The sequence below is a fragment of the Homo sapiens genome, chromosome 6, assembly GCF_000001405.40.
Source record: "Homo sapiens chromosome 6, GRCh38.p14 Primary Assembly".
NCBI lineage: Eukaryota > Metazoa > Chordata > Mammalia > Primates > Hominidae > Homo > Homo sapiens.
The window spans coordinates 230,172-245,611 of record NC_000006.12 but is presented as its reverse complement, the minus strand read 5'-3'; the positions used below and the strand labels follow the sequence as shown (position 1 = coordinate 245,611).

The 15,440-nt window shown below is 43.1% G+C and overlaps 1 long non-coding RNA gene across 2 annotated transcripts, besides 1 other annotated feature; it reads right to left on the bottom strand.

The window, feature by feature from the left end:
• Positions 1–8,477: 8,477 nt before the first annotated feature.
• On the bottom strand, positions 8,478–14,682 carry LOC105374870 (uncharacterized). Of its 2 annotated transcripts, none has more exons than XR_926357.3 (3): positions 14,614–14,682; positions 10,497–10,609; positions 8,478–8,979 (listed from the first exon to the last, which is right to left on the bottom strand). It is a non-coding gene; the product is annotated as an uncharacterized LOC105374870 (long non-coding RNA). The 2 variants fall into 2 exon arrangements; XR_926356.3 differs by having other exon boundaries at positions 10,497–10,621; positions 14,614–14,669.
• Positions 9,489–9,578: an enhancer, noted in NCBI's record as "active region_23813". NCBI's record gives its function as "activates an Ori minimal core promoter by ATAC-STARR-seq in GM12878 lymphoblastoid cells {active_cell/tissue: GM12878}" and the evidence as "EXISTENCE:reporter gene assay evidence [ECO:0000049][PMID:35858748]".
• Positions 14,683–15,440: the final 758 nt, after the last annotated feature.

Here is a 15,440-nt window from a genome sequence, read left to right as displayed (position 1 = left end):
CTCAAGAGTAGTGATGAAATGTGTTAAAGGGTGATTGGCAGACTCTTATGCAAATATAAAATGAACACATGTCAAAGATGTTATTTCACTCATTAATTAAATGTTACAGTGGGTTCAATAGAGAATTCTGAGAACCATACATTTATATACAAGGAATAAGGAATTATAAAATGAATTTACAAATAGCCATAAAACTGCTCTTCCATAGGGCAATGGCCAATTGCATCCCAATGGGGACACAATTAATTTGCATTTATATGAACAAGAGCAATTCACATTATTATCCATTTTCTACAACTTATAGAGTTTTAAAAGAATAGTGAGGATAACGTCAGTGGGTGAGATGTACAGATATAGATGTACAGTTGATCCTCGAGTAATGCAAGGGTCAGGGTGCAGATCCCTGTGCAGTGAAAAATCTGCCTATAACTTCTGACTCCCTCAAAATATTTTGTTTGTTTTTTTAATTTTTAATTTTTGTGGGTACATAATAGGTGTATGTATTTACAGAGTACATGAGATATTTTGATGCAGGCATGCAATGTGTAACAATCACATCAGGGTAGATAGGGCATCCATCTCCTCAAGCATTTATCATATCTTTGTGTTACAAACAATCCAATTATAATCTTTTAGTTATTAACAATATATAAATTATTGCTGACTATAGTCACCCTGTTATGCTATCAAATACTAGATCTTATTTATTCTAACTATAGATTTGTACCCATTAACCATTCCTCCTACTCCCCTCACCCCCTATTACCCTTCCCAGCCTCTGGGAACCATCCTTCTACTCTCTATCTCCATGAGTTCAATTTTTTTAATTTTTGGTTCTCACAAATAAGTGAGAATATACAAACTTTGTCTTTCTGTGCCTGGCTTATTTCACTTTCCATAATGACCCCCAGTCCCACCCACATTGTTGCAAATTGCAGAATCTCATTCTTTTTTATGACTGAACAGTACTCCACTGTGTATACGTACCACATCTTCTTTATCTGTCCATCTATTGATGGACACTTTGGTTGCTTCCAAATCTTGGCTATTGTGAGTAGTGCTGAAATAAACATGGGAGTGCAGACATCTCCTCAGTATAGTGATTTCCTTTCTTTTGGATATATATTTAGCAGTGGGATTGGATTGCTGGATCCTATGGCACTCTATTATTAGTGTTTTGAGGAACCTCCAGATGGTTCTCCATAGTGGTTGTTCTAATTTACATTCCTACCAACTGTGTATGAGGGTTCCCTTTTCTCCACATCCTCACCAGCATTCGTTATTACCTGTCTTTTGGATAAAAGCTATTCTAACCGGGGTGAGAGGATATCTCATTGTAGTTTTGATTTGCATTTATCTGATGATCAGTGATGTTCAGGACCTTTTCATATACCTGTATGTCATTTAAATGTCTTTTTTTGAGAAGCATCTATTCAGATTTTTGCCCATTTTTAAAGTTAGATTATTAGATTTTTTTCCTGTAGAGTTGTTTGAGCTCCTTATGTATTCTGGTTATTAGTCCTTCTCAGATGGATAGTTTCAAATATTTTATCCCATTCTGTGGGTTGTCTCTTCACTTTGTTGATTGTTTCCTTTGCTGTGCAAAAGCTTTTTAACTTGATGTAATCTTCTTTGTCCATTTTTGCTTTGATTGCCTGTACTTGTGGGGTATTACTCGAGAAATCTTTGTCCAGACCAATGTCCTGGAGAGTTCCCCAATGTTTTCTTTTACTAGTTTCATAGTTTGAAATCTTAGATTTAAGTATTAAATTCAGTTTGAGTTTTGTATATGGCAAGAGATGGGGTATAGTTTCATTCTTCTGCATATGGATATCTAGTTTTCCCAGCACCATTTATTGAAGAGACTATCCTTTCCCCAATGTATGTTCTTGGCAACTTTGTTGAAAATGAGTTCACTTTAGATGTATGGATTTGTTTCTGGGTTCTCTATTCTATTCCATTGGTCTATGTGTCTGTTTTTATGCCAGTACCATGCTGTTTTGGTTCCTATAGCTTTGTAGCGTAATTTGAAGTCAGTTAATGTGGTTCCTCAAGTTTTGTTCTTTTTGTTTAGGATAGCTTTGGCTATTCTGGGTCTTTTGTGATTACACATAAATTTTATAATTAGTTTTTCTGTTTTTGTGAAGAATGTAATTGGTATTTTGATAGGTATTACATCAAATCTGTAGATTGCTTTAGGCAATATGGACATTTTAACAATATTAATTCTTCCAGTCCATGAACATGGAATATCTTTCCATTGTTTTGTGTCCTCTTCAGTTTATTTCATCAATGTATTATAGTTTTCATTGTAGTGGTCTTTTACCTCTTTGGTTGGGTTAATTTCTTGGTATTTTATTTTATTCATAGCTATTGTAAATGAGATTAGTATCTTGATTTCTTTTCCAAATTGTTCAATGATGGCATATAGAAATGCTGCTAATTTTTGTATGTTGATTTTGTATCCTGCAACTTTACTCAATTTGTTTATTAGTTCTAATAGTTTTATGGTGAAGGTTTTAGGTTTATCCAAATATAAGATCATATCATCTGGAAACAAGGATAATTTGACTTCTTCCTTTCCAATTTGGATGACCTTTATTTCATTCTCTTGTCTGATTGTTCTAGCTAAGACTTCCAGTACTGTGTTGAATAACAGTGGTGAAAGTGGGCATCCTTGTCATGTTCCAGATCTTAGAGGAAAGGCTTTCAGTTTTCCCCCATTTAGTATGATACTAGCTGTGGGTCTGTCATATATGGCTTTTATTGTGTTGAGGTATGTTCCTTCTATACCCAGTTTTTTGAGGATTTTTATCTGTGAAAGGATGTTGAGTTTTATCAAATGCTATTTCAGGATCAGATGAAATGATCATATGGTTTTTGTCCTTCTTTCAGTTGATAAGAGGGATCACATTGATTGATTTGTTTATGTTGAATCATCTTTGCATCCCTGGGGTAAACCCCACATGATCATGATGAATGGTCCTTTCAATGTGTTGTTGAATTCAGTTTGCTGATACTTTGTTGAGGGTTTTTGCATCAATGCTTATCAGGGATATTGGCCTGCAGTTTTCTTTTTTTGATGTCTTTGTCTGGTTTTGTTATCAGGGTAATATTGGCCTCATAGAATGATTTTGGAAGTATTCCCTCCTCCTCTGTTTTTCAAAATAGTTTGAGTAGGATTGGTATTACTTTTTCTTTAAATGTTTGGTAAAATTCAACATCCCTCAAAACTTTACTAATCCCCTACTGTTGACTGGAAGTGTTACCAACAACATAAACAGTTGATTAAAAAATATTTTTATGTTATATGTATTATGTACTGTATTCTTAGCAAAAAGTAAGCTGGAGAAAAGAAAACGTTACTAAGAAAATCATAAGGAAGAGAAAAAATACATTTACTATTCATGAAGTGGAAGTGGATCATCATGAAGGTCTTCATCCTCATCATCTTCACATTGTCTAAGGAGGAGGAGGAAAAGGTGGGGTTGCTCTTGCTGTCTCAGGAGTAGCAGAGGCAGAAGAGGTAGACGAGGTGGAAGAGAAGGCAAGAGAGTCAGGCACAGTCAGCGTAACTTTCACTGAAAAAAATTCATGTATAAGTGGAACTGCATAGTTCAAATCCATGTTGTTCAAGGGTCAACTGTAGATATATAGATTTATAGGCATCACTCACATTTTCTTTCACGTTTCAAAATCCTTCACAATTTTTCATGACAAGTGAGTAAAGCAGGTCCCAGATACTATAGGATGCATCAGTCTTGGTCGTTTTACTATTAATTGAAACATATATTCCTCCTCCATTGCTCAGGGATGAGATAGCACTTTCCTTTAGAGCATTTTTTAAAAGATGCCCAAGGTGGATTATTCTAGCTGGGCGGTAGCTTGAGTGTGTGCAACAGTGGGGGCACTGTGAGGCTATTTGGAGGGAGTGGCGGTCACCAGAGAGAAGTTTCAGTGCAGCTGTGCACATGTCGACCAGAGCAGAGGGAGTGCTGTGCAGAGAGAGAAAAGTTAGCTGAGAAGGAGGAAAACTGATCTTGCTAATGACTGTGCCCTTAACCCGTGGCTTGTCTCCAATTTCAGAAGCAACAAATCCAAGAGTTTGTGCAGACAAGAAATGCTGCAGACTAGTCTCCCATGAAAAGGTGGGAGGTGAGGGAGGGATGAGAGGATGCTCTCTTTTATATATGTGATCTCTGCCCATCCTCACAGTAGCCCTGGGCAATCCTTATTCTAGAGAGAAGGAAACAGAGGTTCTGGGAACTCAGGATGCCACGAAGAGGCAGGATGTGCCCGCAGCTCATCTGGTTCTGATGCAAGCCGACTTTGCCCTCTGGCACAGGAAGCACAGGGTGCCTGGGACCCAGGCTGCATTCGGAAGCCTCAGAAATGCTTAATCTTGGCCGGGTGCAGTGGCTCAAGCCTGTAAATCTCAGCACTTTGAGAGGCCAAGGCGGGCGGATCACCTGAGGTCGGGAGTTAGAGACCAGCCTGACCAACATGGAGAAACCCCGACTCTATTAAAAATACAAAATTAGCCGGGCGCGGTGGTACACGCTTGTAATCCCAGCTACTCAGGAGGCTGAGGCAGGAGAATCGCTTGAACCTGGGAGGCAGAGGTTGCAGTGAGCTGAGATCGCACCACTGCACTCCAGCCTGGGCAACAAGAGCGAAACTCCGTCCCAAAAAAGAAAAAAAAAAAAAAAAGCTTAATCTTTATTCCTTTTAAAATCAGAAGAAAAATATACATAATAATCATGAATATATAATAATGAATCCCATCTCAATTACATCTGTCATTTTATCAGCGCAGCAGTAAAATACTTTTAAATATTTTTTATAGAGGAAGTTGCCCACAGGAGCGATGGTACCTCGGCTGCATCTCAGAGGTTCCGCCTGCCTATTCTGGAGCGCATGCCCTGGACCTGGTACCAGCCCCAGGTTTCCAGGAGTGGGAAACTGCTCGTCTACTCTACTCAGGTCATATTGATTTTCCTTGATTCCCTGCTCTGGAAAACACAGCTCCTGGAACTTGGTCCAAGAATAGGAATAGTTGGTCTGTCTTTAATGTTACTATTTTTTAACTCCTAGTCAAGTGCCACAGGGAAACAAGAAAAATGGGGCTATGGGATTGACTAAGGGAGTTTAACAAATGGCCTTTAAAATGACAAAGTGAGCTGGGCTCTGGAATGACAACAGTGGTAAGTTGGGAAGGCATCCCGCTGAGGCTCCTTGGCTCCCCAGCACCTGCCTGCTCCCTGGCTCAGTCTGCCTCACTCTCTGCTCTGGGCAAGGGTACCAGCCGAGCACCTCAAGAGCCTAGACCACGTGGAGGCTACATAGAGGTCCCAGGGAGAGGACATTATGTCACTCTTCTGAGATGTGAGCTCAAGAGGATGTTGGAGGCCAGAAGTTCTTGACTGGAGAGGAGGAGACTTAGATTCCTGCCTTGGCTCCCACACTAACTAGTTGTTTAATCCTTCAGTCCAGGCCAATTCATTTCTCTAAGCTTCCGTTTTCTCATCATAAAATGAGAGAGTGGATCATTCCAGCTCTAAGGTTATATGATTCTCAGGAGAAAAATGTGAAAGACAGCAACAGGTTAAAAAATATTTAAATGAGTTCGACGTTTGCCCCAATTTACCAATTGCCAACCACGTCTTCTCCCAAGGATGGCCCTATCAATCAACCCAATTCCAAAAACTGTCATGAGATTTTCCATGAAACTCTGTGTAACTGGGAGAGAATAAAGCACGTGCTAAACACGAATGCAGTGAAAATGGCGTGAGGCCAGGGAGGAACTGGGAAAGTCCAGTGGAATTCCCTGAGGATATGGGCAGGTGCCCGCCAGCGTTGCTGGAAGGGCTGTTTCTGAGGATAGAGGGTTAGTGAGCTGTAGCAGTTTCCAAGGCCAGGAGAGGGAGATTTTATTCAGCAGAAATAAAAGTGCTGGGAGGTGTACAATGACTTTCTTAACTTCATGGAAAGTACCATGGGAGTTCTATGACAGAAGCCAGGCTGTGGCCCTCGTCAAGGGTGGACTCAGAAGGAGGGAAACGATCGATGGCATTGTCAACAGCGTTCATTCTGAAGGCCCTTCATTTAAATTCTGGTAGCCATCAGCTCCTGACACCCAGTGATAACAATACCCTGCACTGGCCCATTGTCTGATTTTGATCTTTCAACAATCCCGAGGCAACTCTGAGATCTTGTAATTTTTGTCCCTCTGGAAGATGAGGGCCCACGTCCCACAGTGGTCAAAGATACACCTATAACCTCGTTCTCCAGCACTAGACCAGCAAGCCGAGTGAGGCGGTTACTTCTCTTCGTAGTTCCACAGTAAGGAGCTATTTCAACTTCATCTAATGAACTGCAGTCTTAGGGATGGACAAAAACCAGCCCTAGAATGACTAACAGGGCTGTGCCTCTGGTGCGTCTTCACTGCCACTCACAGTGGTAACTGCAGCGTATGGACAAGCATCTGCCTCTGACTGAGGAGACATTTATTCATAAAATAAGAGTGTGCCTTTGTGTCTTTTCTTTTCTTTTTTTTTGAGACAGAGTCTAACTCTGTCTCCCAGTGACACGATCTCAGCTCACTGCAACCTCCGCCTCCTGGGTTCAAGCAATTCTCCTGCCTCAGCCTCCCAAGTAGCCGGGACTATAGGTGCACACCACTACGCCAGGCTAATTTTTTTGTATTTTTAGTAGAGATGGGGTTTCACCATGTTGGCCAGGCTGGTCTTGAACTCCCAATCTCAAATGATCCGCCTGCCTCGGCTTCCCCAAGTGCTGGGTATCTTTCCATTTAATAAGTTCTAATGTTTGATAACAGAGCAGTGTGGCTATAGTTAACACAATGTATTATGTATTTCAGAATAGCTACAAGAGAGGACTTGATGTGTACCCAACACGTGGAAATGATCAATATCTTGACTAGATCATCACACATTCTGTGCATGTACCCCACAAATATGTACTAATATAGCGTATCCAAAAAAATTAAAGTCAGCATATTGAAATATCATAAATAAACCAAAGTGAAACTAACTCCCCAAGTTAAATAAATGGATTCTCTTTTGTGTCTCAATTTCTTCAACATCAAACCTTTTTTCATTTTAGTGAAGTATATTCTTCCAGAAATTAATATTGATTAACGTTAATATGTTAATATAATGTATATAGTAAGAACTCCCTCTCCCCTTACTAAGAAACTTCCCAACTACAATTTTCTCTTCAAGATTCTTCATGGTGCACATATCGTTTTAACATGCCACTTCCGTGTGTGTTCAAATCCTTTGTGGGACGATTTTCTTGTCCTTTTCAATTCTCCCTTCCCAGATTTGGTCTCAGGCTTCAACAGCTCCTGTGTTCTTGGATTTCAATGTCGCCAGTGATCATTAAGATCTGTTTGGCTCATGTGCTTGTGGGCCAAGTGATCCATTTTATAGGAAGAACAATGAGGAGGAGCGAGACAGTCAGCAAGAAAGTGGATTTACTGAAACAACACATGGGGCGTGGTGGATCTTTTGTTTGTTTTGGAAGGTTTTGCTTTGTTTTTTGGTGAACTCATTTCGAATTCAGCAAGAGGTATAATCTTTAACTTTCAGCTACAAACAAAACACCTGTCTCATTACCAGCCTGGGTAGGTGTGGAACACAAATGGTTTTTCATTTCTGTGAAGTATTCTTCGAGCTTGTATAGCCAAGAAGGCTTAACACTGTGCTGTTTTCTATTGGGCTTTCTGTGGGAGAAAAAAATTTGATGAAAAGAAAAGAATAGGCCGGGCGCAGTGGCTCACCCCTGTAATCCCAGCACTTTGGGAGGCCGAGGAGGATGGATCACTTGAGGTCAAGAGTTGGGGACCAGCCTGACCAACATGGTGAAACCCCGTCTCTACTAAAAATACAAAAATTAGCTGGACGTGGTGGCAGGTGCCTGTAATCCCAGCTACTCGGGAGGCTGAAGCAGGAGAATCGCTTGAACCCGGGAGGCGGAGCTTGCAGTGAGCCAAGATCGTGCCACTACACTCCAGCCTGGGTAACAAAGCGAGACTCCGTCTCAAAAAAAAAAATTGCATTTTGCACTTAGCAATATATCATTGATTTTTTAATATGGTGAAATATCATGTACAGCAAACTTTCATGGCTGCATGTTTCCTCCATTTTATGGAAGTACCCTAATACATTCAGCCAATCCCCTATTTGGGGACTTTCAGATTGTGTTGAATTATTAACTAATATTTAAGCAATACTTAAATAAATATTCTCTACATATATTTTAGGTGCATATGCAATTTTTTGCACAGGATTATAATTCTTCCAAGCAGAAGTGATAAGTGCTCAAAAGTTTTAAGATTTGTGACACCAATCACCAAGTTACCCACCACAAGATCTGATTATCATTTACATTTCTCCCATTAGTGACTGAGAAAATCCACGGTCCCCCAGCATGTCCAACAGGGACAACAGGGGTGTGCATTTGCGTTTATTAATATTTGGGCAAAAATGCCATTTCACTTTTGTTCTGTGCCAAGATCCTGGTTTTTGCTTGATCTTTCAGAGTCCTGAAGTCATGTGAAAGCAGACAAAAGTTAAACAGGCTGCAGCCACTAAGGAGCTCTCCTCCTCCTTTAGGATCAGAGTGATGCGGGCTCAGGGCTTCTGCCTTTTCTGTTGTTAGCAGACTTTCTCTGAAGCCCCAGGGGACTCGAGGTACAGTAGTAATGGGGGGATGGCTACAGGGTAAAGAAATTACCAGGAAAGAAAAAATGGAAATAGTAATTTGGGAAGATGGGCCAAGACTGGGCATGAGGTTTCTGGGTACCCAGCATGGCTCCAGCAAGAGAGGGAGCGGGGGGTGCTGGAGACTGTGGACAGAGCAATCCGGCCTTTGAGTCAGCAAAGTCCTGGGTGGGGAGGGCTAGAGAGCCTGATGTGGCTAAAAACAAGCTTCTGCCAACAGGTGAAATGGGCACTAAAGGAGAAATAAATTTCAGTTATTGAATATCAAAAGGGTTCCAGTTATTGTCCACACAGATTTGAGGTCCGAAATACAAAACTCCTACGTGATGGTAACCGTTCTTTTTAGAACCTCCTTCTCTCCATTACTGCCCCAGATAAAACTCCCCCTAGACATGAGCTTCCAGGGCCATGGAGAGAAGGCAGTAGGGTTGGGAAGGACGCAGGTTGTGGAACATTCCATGAGGATGTTCTTTCCATATTTATTTTTACTGCTTGGCCTTCTAGACCCAAATTCTCTAATTTTATCTTGTCAGTCTCTGTGAGTAAAAAATTCCACCTCTTCTCTCTCTGCTCTCCCCAGAGAGAAGTTTCTCTCTGTGAAAGAATTAACCACCCTGCCCCCAACAGTCATCAGTGTGTGGGTGACACCTCGTCCTGGATGAATCTTTTCAAGATAAGTTTCTTTTCTGCTTCATGGTATGTGAAAAAGTGGAAAATGAGGTGGAGAGAGAGAGACAGAGAGAGCAAGAACAAAAGAGAAAGTGAAAGAGAGACGGGGAGAGAGCAAGCACAAGAACAAAAGCAAGAGTGAGAGACAGATGGGGGGAGGGAAGAGGCAGAGGGAGAGGGAGAGGAAGAGGGAGAGGGAGCAGGACAGCTAGAGGGAAGTCAGCTCATCCTAGGAAGTTTCCAAACTTTTTCCTTTCTCTCCCTCCCCTCTGTTTTCCTTTTAGTTTGTCCCTTTACCTCCCCCTCCCCTTCCCTCCTCTCCCTCTCTCTCTTCTTTCTTCTCTTTCTCTCCTTCTTCCTTCCTTCCTTCCTTCCTTCCTTTCTTTCTTTCTTTCTTTCTTTCTTTTTCTTTCTCTCTCTCTCTCTCTTTCTTTCTTCCTCTCCTTTCTCTTCTTCTTTTCTTACTTTTCATTTTGATTGGGAAAATATTTACTTCACTCATCAAAACTTTCATCCTTTTGGAAGAAATCCTGACTCACAGTTCTAGGCCTATCTGGGCTCACTGAGGAAAGGACTGGGGGCATGGGATGAAATAGAGACTTCTTATGAAGAGGATTTCTGAGGAGGGATTTGAGTACAACTCACTGAACTTGGGAAAGGATAAAGATCACCCTCAAGGCTGGGCTCGGTGGCTCTTGCCTGTAATCCCAGCACTTCGGGAGGCCAAGGTGGGCGGATCACCTGAGGTTGGGAGTTTGAGACCAGCCTGGCCAACATGGTGAAACCCCATCTCCACTAAAAATACAAAAATTAGCTGGGTGTGGTGGTATGTGCCTGTAATTCCAGCTACTTGGGAGGCTAAGGCAGGAGAATTACTTGAACCCGGGTGGCAGAGGTTGCAGTGAGCTGAGATCTCACCACTGCACTCCAGCCTAGGTGACAGAGCGAGACTCCATCTTAATTAAAATAAAAAGAGAGAGAGAGAAAAAGAAAAAGATTGCCCTAGATGATTGACAGCCCCTCAGGAGGCCTCTTTCATCTCACAAGTTTCCCTCCACCCAAGGCACTTTCCCCTCTCACCTGCTTCTATCCAGGCATCATCCAGGGAAGTGACTTCAGCTTCAGAGGAACAGGAAGGGCAGGGGAGAGGAGATGACTACGGTGCTTGGTTCCAAGCAGCAAACCCCAGGCATCTGGAAGGGAGGCTGTTGTGGAGGGGCTGTTCTTGTTTACCAGCAGAGGGAGAGGTACCACCTTCACCCCCATGCACCTTTGCTTCCCTCAGTCTCTACACATCTCTCTGTCCCTGCAACCTAGAGGCCCCATAGGCAACCCTCCAATTTGTCACAGGCTCTTTCTCCTGATCACAGTAGTTAATAAAGATTCCTGGGCCAAAAGTCAGAAAGAACAAAGGCATCTTCTCCAAAGCTGATAGTGAGACCTCAGGAGAACCAGCCCAGCAGTGACCTATTTATTGCACCTAGTAAAGCTTGTATCCTGAGCTCAGCCCTTCCCAGGACTTTCTGTTAGGGCAGCACAAGGCATGGACTCAATCCTATAGGTCAGCATCCAGATCCCCAGTCCTCTGCTGTGCGTCTTTGGAAAGTTTCTTACCCTCTGAGCCTCAGACCCTGCATATGAGAAAGCCTGGCAAGGAGCAGCATTTGCTCAGGCTCAGTGACATTCGCCGTGACTGTCTCAAAAAGTGACAATTCCGAGACGGAATTTTGCTCTGTCACTCAGGCTGGAGTGCAGTGGCGTGATCTCCACGCACTGCAACCTCTGCCTCCTGGGTTCAAGCAATTCTCCTGCCTCAGCCTCCCAAGTAGCTGGGATTACAGGCACACGCCACCGCACCCAGCTAATTTTTGTATTTTTTTAGTAGAGATGGGGTTTCACCATGTTGGCTAGGCTGGTCTCGAATTCCTGACCTCATGATCTGCCCACCTCGGCCTCCCAAGGTGCTGGGATTACAGGCATGAGCCACCTCACCTGGCCAAAGTGACAACTCTTAAAACAAGACAATGTTTTCGGCCTGGTGTGGTGGCTCACGCCTGTCATCCCAGCACTTTGGAGGCTGATGTGGGCAGATCACGAGGTTAGGTGTTCAAGACCAGCATGGCCAATATAGTGAAACCCCTTGTCTACTAAAAATACAAAAATTAGCCAGGCATGGTGGCATGCACCTGTAATCCCAGCTACTCAGGAGGCTGAGGCAGCAGAATTGCTTGAACCCGGGAGGGAGAGGTTGCAGTAAGCCGAGATTACAATACTGCACTCCAGCCTGGGCGACAGAGCAAGACTCTGTCTCAAAAAAAAAAAAAAAAAAAAAAAGAAGCTGTTTGCAAAGCACACTTGGAAGGGTTATTCTGATATTATTTGATATTATTATTATTACTAATATTATTTTTAAGCCTTGTCTCACTCACTTTGTATTCCTAAGATAGAGATTTCTTGGCTATACATTGGAGCTGTGGTTATGCTTTGTGATAATTATTGCTTTGGGCCAGGCTGCCTGCACAGCTGCCAAGCTCAGCAAAGGAAGGGCGCTCTCCTAGGCTCTCTCCTCCCTCTGCCTCTCTCTGTTTTCTTCCCTGGGGTAGCAGTGGTTGGCCTTGCCATCAAGTGTCTCCCCTGGTCATCTGGGATGAGATGGGCCATGTGGAGTAGAGAAGAAACGCAATTCTTTTGGAACCAGGAAGACCTCCATTTGAGCCCTGGCTGAACCTGCCTGTTGGCTGAGTGGCTCTGGGCATGTCTTCTACTTTACGAGCTTCAGCATCTGAATCTGTTTCCCATGGTCGTCCTCAACAAACTGCCACACACTGGGTGCTTAAAGCAACAGATGTGTATTATTTCCCAGTCCTGGAGGCCGGCAGCCCCAGACCACGGTGCTGGCAGAGTCGTCCTCTCACTGCGCTTGTGGTGGTGGCTGGCAACCCTCGGTGCTCCCACCTTGCAGACGCGTCACTGCATCTCTGCCTGTGTCATCACATGGACTTCCCTCTGTGGGTCTGTGTCCTCTCCTTAGAAGGACACCAGCCCTACGGAGTGAGGCCCACTCTCCTCCAGCATGACCTCATCTTAGCTTCACTAACTACATCAGCAATGACCCTATTTCCAGATAAGGTCACATTCTGAGGTATTGGGGTAAGGACTTCCCTTTTTAGAGGACACGGCACAACCCATACAATATCCTCATCACAGAATGGAGTGAACAATCCCTCCTTTGCAGCATTGTTGTGAGAATTAGAAGCAACAGAGCTCCTGCCCAGCACACGTCGTAGTTGCTCAGTGATCGGCAGCCTTTGTTACCACTGTGGGATCCTGTCCTGGGACAGGAGTATGGCAAGTGCCAAACAGGCCCTGAGCAGCTGTGTAGCTGGAACTGAGGGGGCAGGTCCACAGCTCCTCCAAAAAGCTCTATGACTCCACATTAATGGAGACTCCTTCTCAAGGGAACTAGGATATTTACTTCACTGTAGACCAGGCATCCCCAACCCCCAGGGCATGGATGGTAGCTAGCGGTCTATGGCCTGTTAGGAACCAGGCTGCACAGCAGGAGGTGAGCGGTGGGTGAGTGGGTGAAGCTTCATATGTATTTACAGCCACTCCCCATCACTCACATTTTACTGCCTTAGTTCCTGTCAGATCAGCATCAGCATCAGAGTCTCATAGGAGCACAAACCCTACTGTGAACTGTGCATGCAAGGGATCTAAGTTGCACGCTCCTTATGAGAATCTAATGCCTGATGATCTGTCACTGTCTCCCATCACCCCCAGATGGGACCATCTAGTTGCAGGAAAACAAGCTCGGGGCTCCCACTGATTCTACATTATGGTGAGTTGTATAATTATTTCATTATATATTACAATATGATAATAACAATAGAAATAAAGTGCACGATAAATGGAATGCACTTGAATCACCCGGAAACCATCCCCCTCCCCTGCCCCAGTCCGTGGAAAAATTGTCTTCCATGAAACTGGTCCCTGGTGCCAAAAAGGTTGAGGACCGCTGCTATAGACTACAGGTTTCTAAACATACTTAAAGCAGAGTGTTAGTTTATACAAGAGGAGGAACGTGGTAGAATAGGGAACACCCTACTGAAAATGGGAGGGCCTGGGCTTTCACGGGAGCTTGTTCACTACTTTACTGAGTGACCCTGATCAAGGATCCAGGCCTTTGTTTCATGTGAATAGAGAAAAGGTGTCAGACCAAATGATCTCTGTAGGGTCCCTGATCAGTTCATGATTCTGCATAGGGTATCTCTCATGTTCTCACCCTCCCACACTGGTTTCAAAATCAGTAAACCCAGGGATCTTTCCTGGTTGCTCAACAAAAGTTGAATTTTCACACTATCGTTATTTGATCTTTTCCCACATCCATCGTTTTTGAACATGTAAAATTATTAAGTGTTCATTACATAAGAATGGAAATTATAGAAAAGTAAATAAAAAGTAATGTAGTATCTGGTGTGATTGAGGAGATAAATGTTCCCATCACAGTGATCTTTATCTTGACTTGAAACATTCTCAAAAGAAACGACAAATTATCAATGAAAACAGAAACAGAAGGCTGGGCCCAGGGCATCAGAGAAGAATCTGTTTGGCAGACACTGCCCCCAATATCTTTAAAACTTTTCACAGAAATTTTCTCAGCAGACTTTACAACACTCCTCCAAAGTATTTCAGTGAAAGGAGTATTACCCCAATTAAACAAGAAGGCAAGGACACTGCAGTTGAATAAGAGAAATTATAGGTATAAATAGGACTGCAACAGCCCAGGAATCTTTCATAATAAAAAATAAGGAAACAGCCAGGCGCGGTGGCTCACGCCTGTAGTCCCAACACTTTGGGAGGCTGAGGCGGGCGGATCACGAGGTCAGGAGATCAAGACCATCCTGGCTAACACGGTGAAACCCCATCTCCACTAAAAAATACAAAAAAATTAGCCGGGCATGGTGGCGGGCGCCTGTAGGCCCAGCTACTTTGGAGGCTGAGGCAGGAGAATGCTGTGAACCCGGGAGGCGGAGCTTGCAGTGAGCCGAGATCGCGCCACCGCACTCCAGCCTGGGCGACAGAGCGAGACTCCGTCTCAAAAAAAAAATAAAAATAAGAAATAAGGAAACAGTATTTCTTGCCATGAATGTTTATGTAATTATCTAACGGGCTTTCAGCTTCCACAGTCAAATACCGATGTCACGATGACACGATAATGCCGCTGGACTTTGTCGGCCTTGGTAAACGGCACTGAGGACCCGAGTTCCTCTTGCAACTGCCAAGCGTTTCACGGGAACGTCATCTGGGGAGTCAACGGCTTCAGGATTAGCAACCACCATCTTTCAAAAGCGGTGTCATATGTTAAAAGGAGCTGGAATCATGAGGGCTAAAAAAAGATGAGTGATTGAAAAAATAGTCATGATGAAAGAGGCCAGGAATGCCAGAAGTAATAACATTTATTACCAAATTTCACAAAAAGCCTAACCTTTTACATATAAAATACAGAAAACCAAAAGAGAAACAATATACTTAGGAAAGTTTTGCAAGGCAGGTGACCAACCATAGGTGTCTTTGCTTATTGTAAAGAGAGCTTTGTCATATCAGTAAAGAAAAGGGGAAATATTCTATTGAAAAATAGAGACTCTCAAAAGCCAGTTCTTGACCATCAAACATGAGACAGATTTCTCAGTTACACTCCTGATTAAGGAAATGGAAAGCAAAATACTAGTGCTGTATAACTGGCTATTTACATAGCATTGGCAATAAATGAAGCTTAATAAAACCCAGCATTGGTGAGGTTTACCAGTCTCCTGCACCACTGGTGAGAGGCTGAGTTGGACAACAATTTTGGCGGGCAATAGGTAATTCCTGTGAAAATACACTTATCCTTTTTCAGGCAACTCACTCTACAGATATTTGTTTTTAAGTACATATAAAAATAGATACATAGAGATACATAGATATCTTTCTACATATCTCTATCTATCTATCTGTCTGTCTGTCTGTCTGTCTGTCTATCTA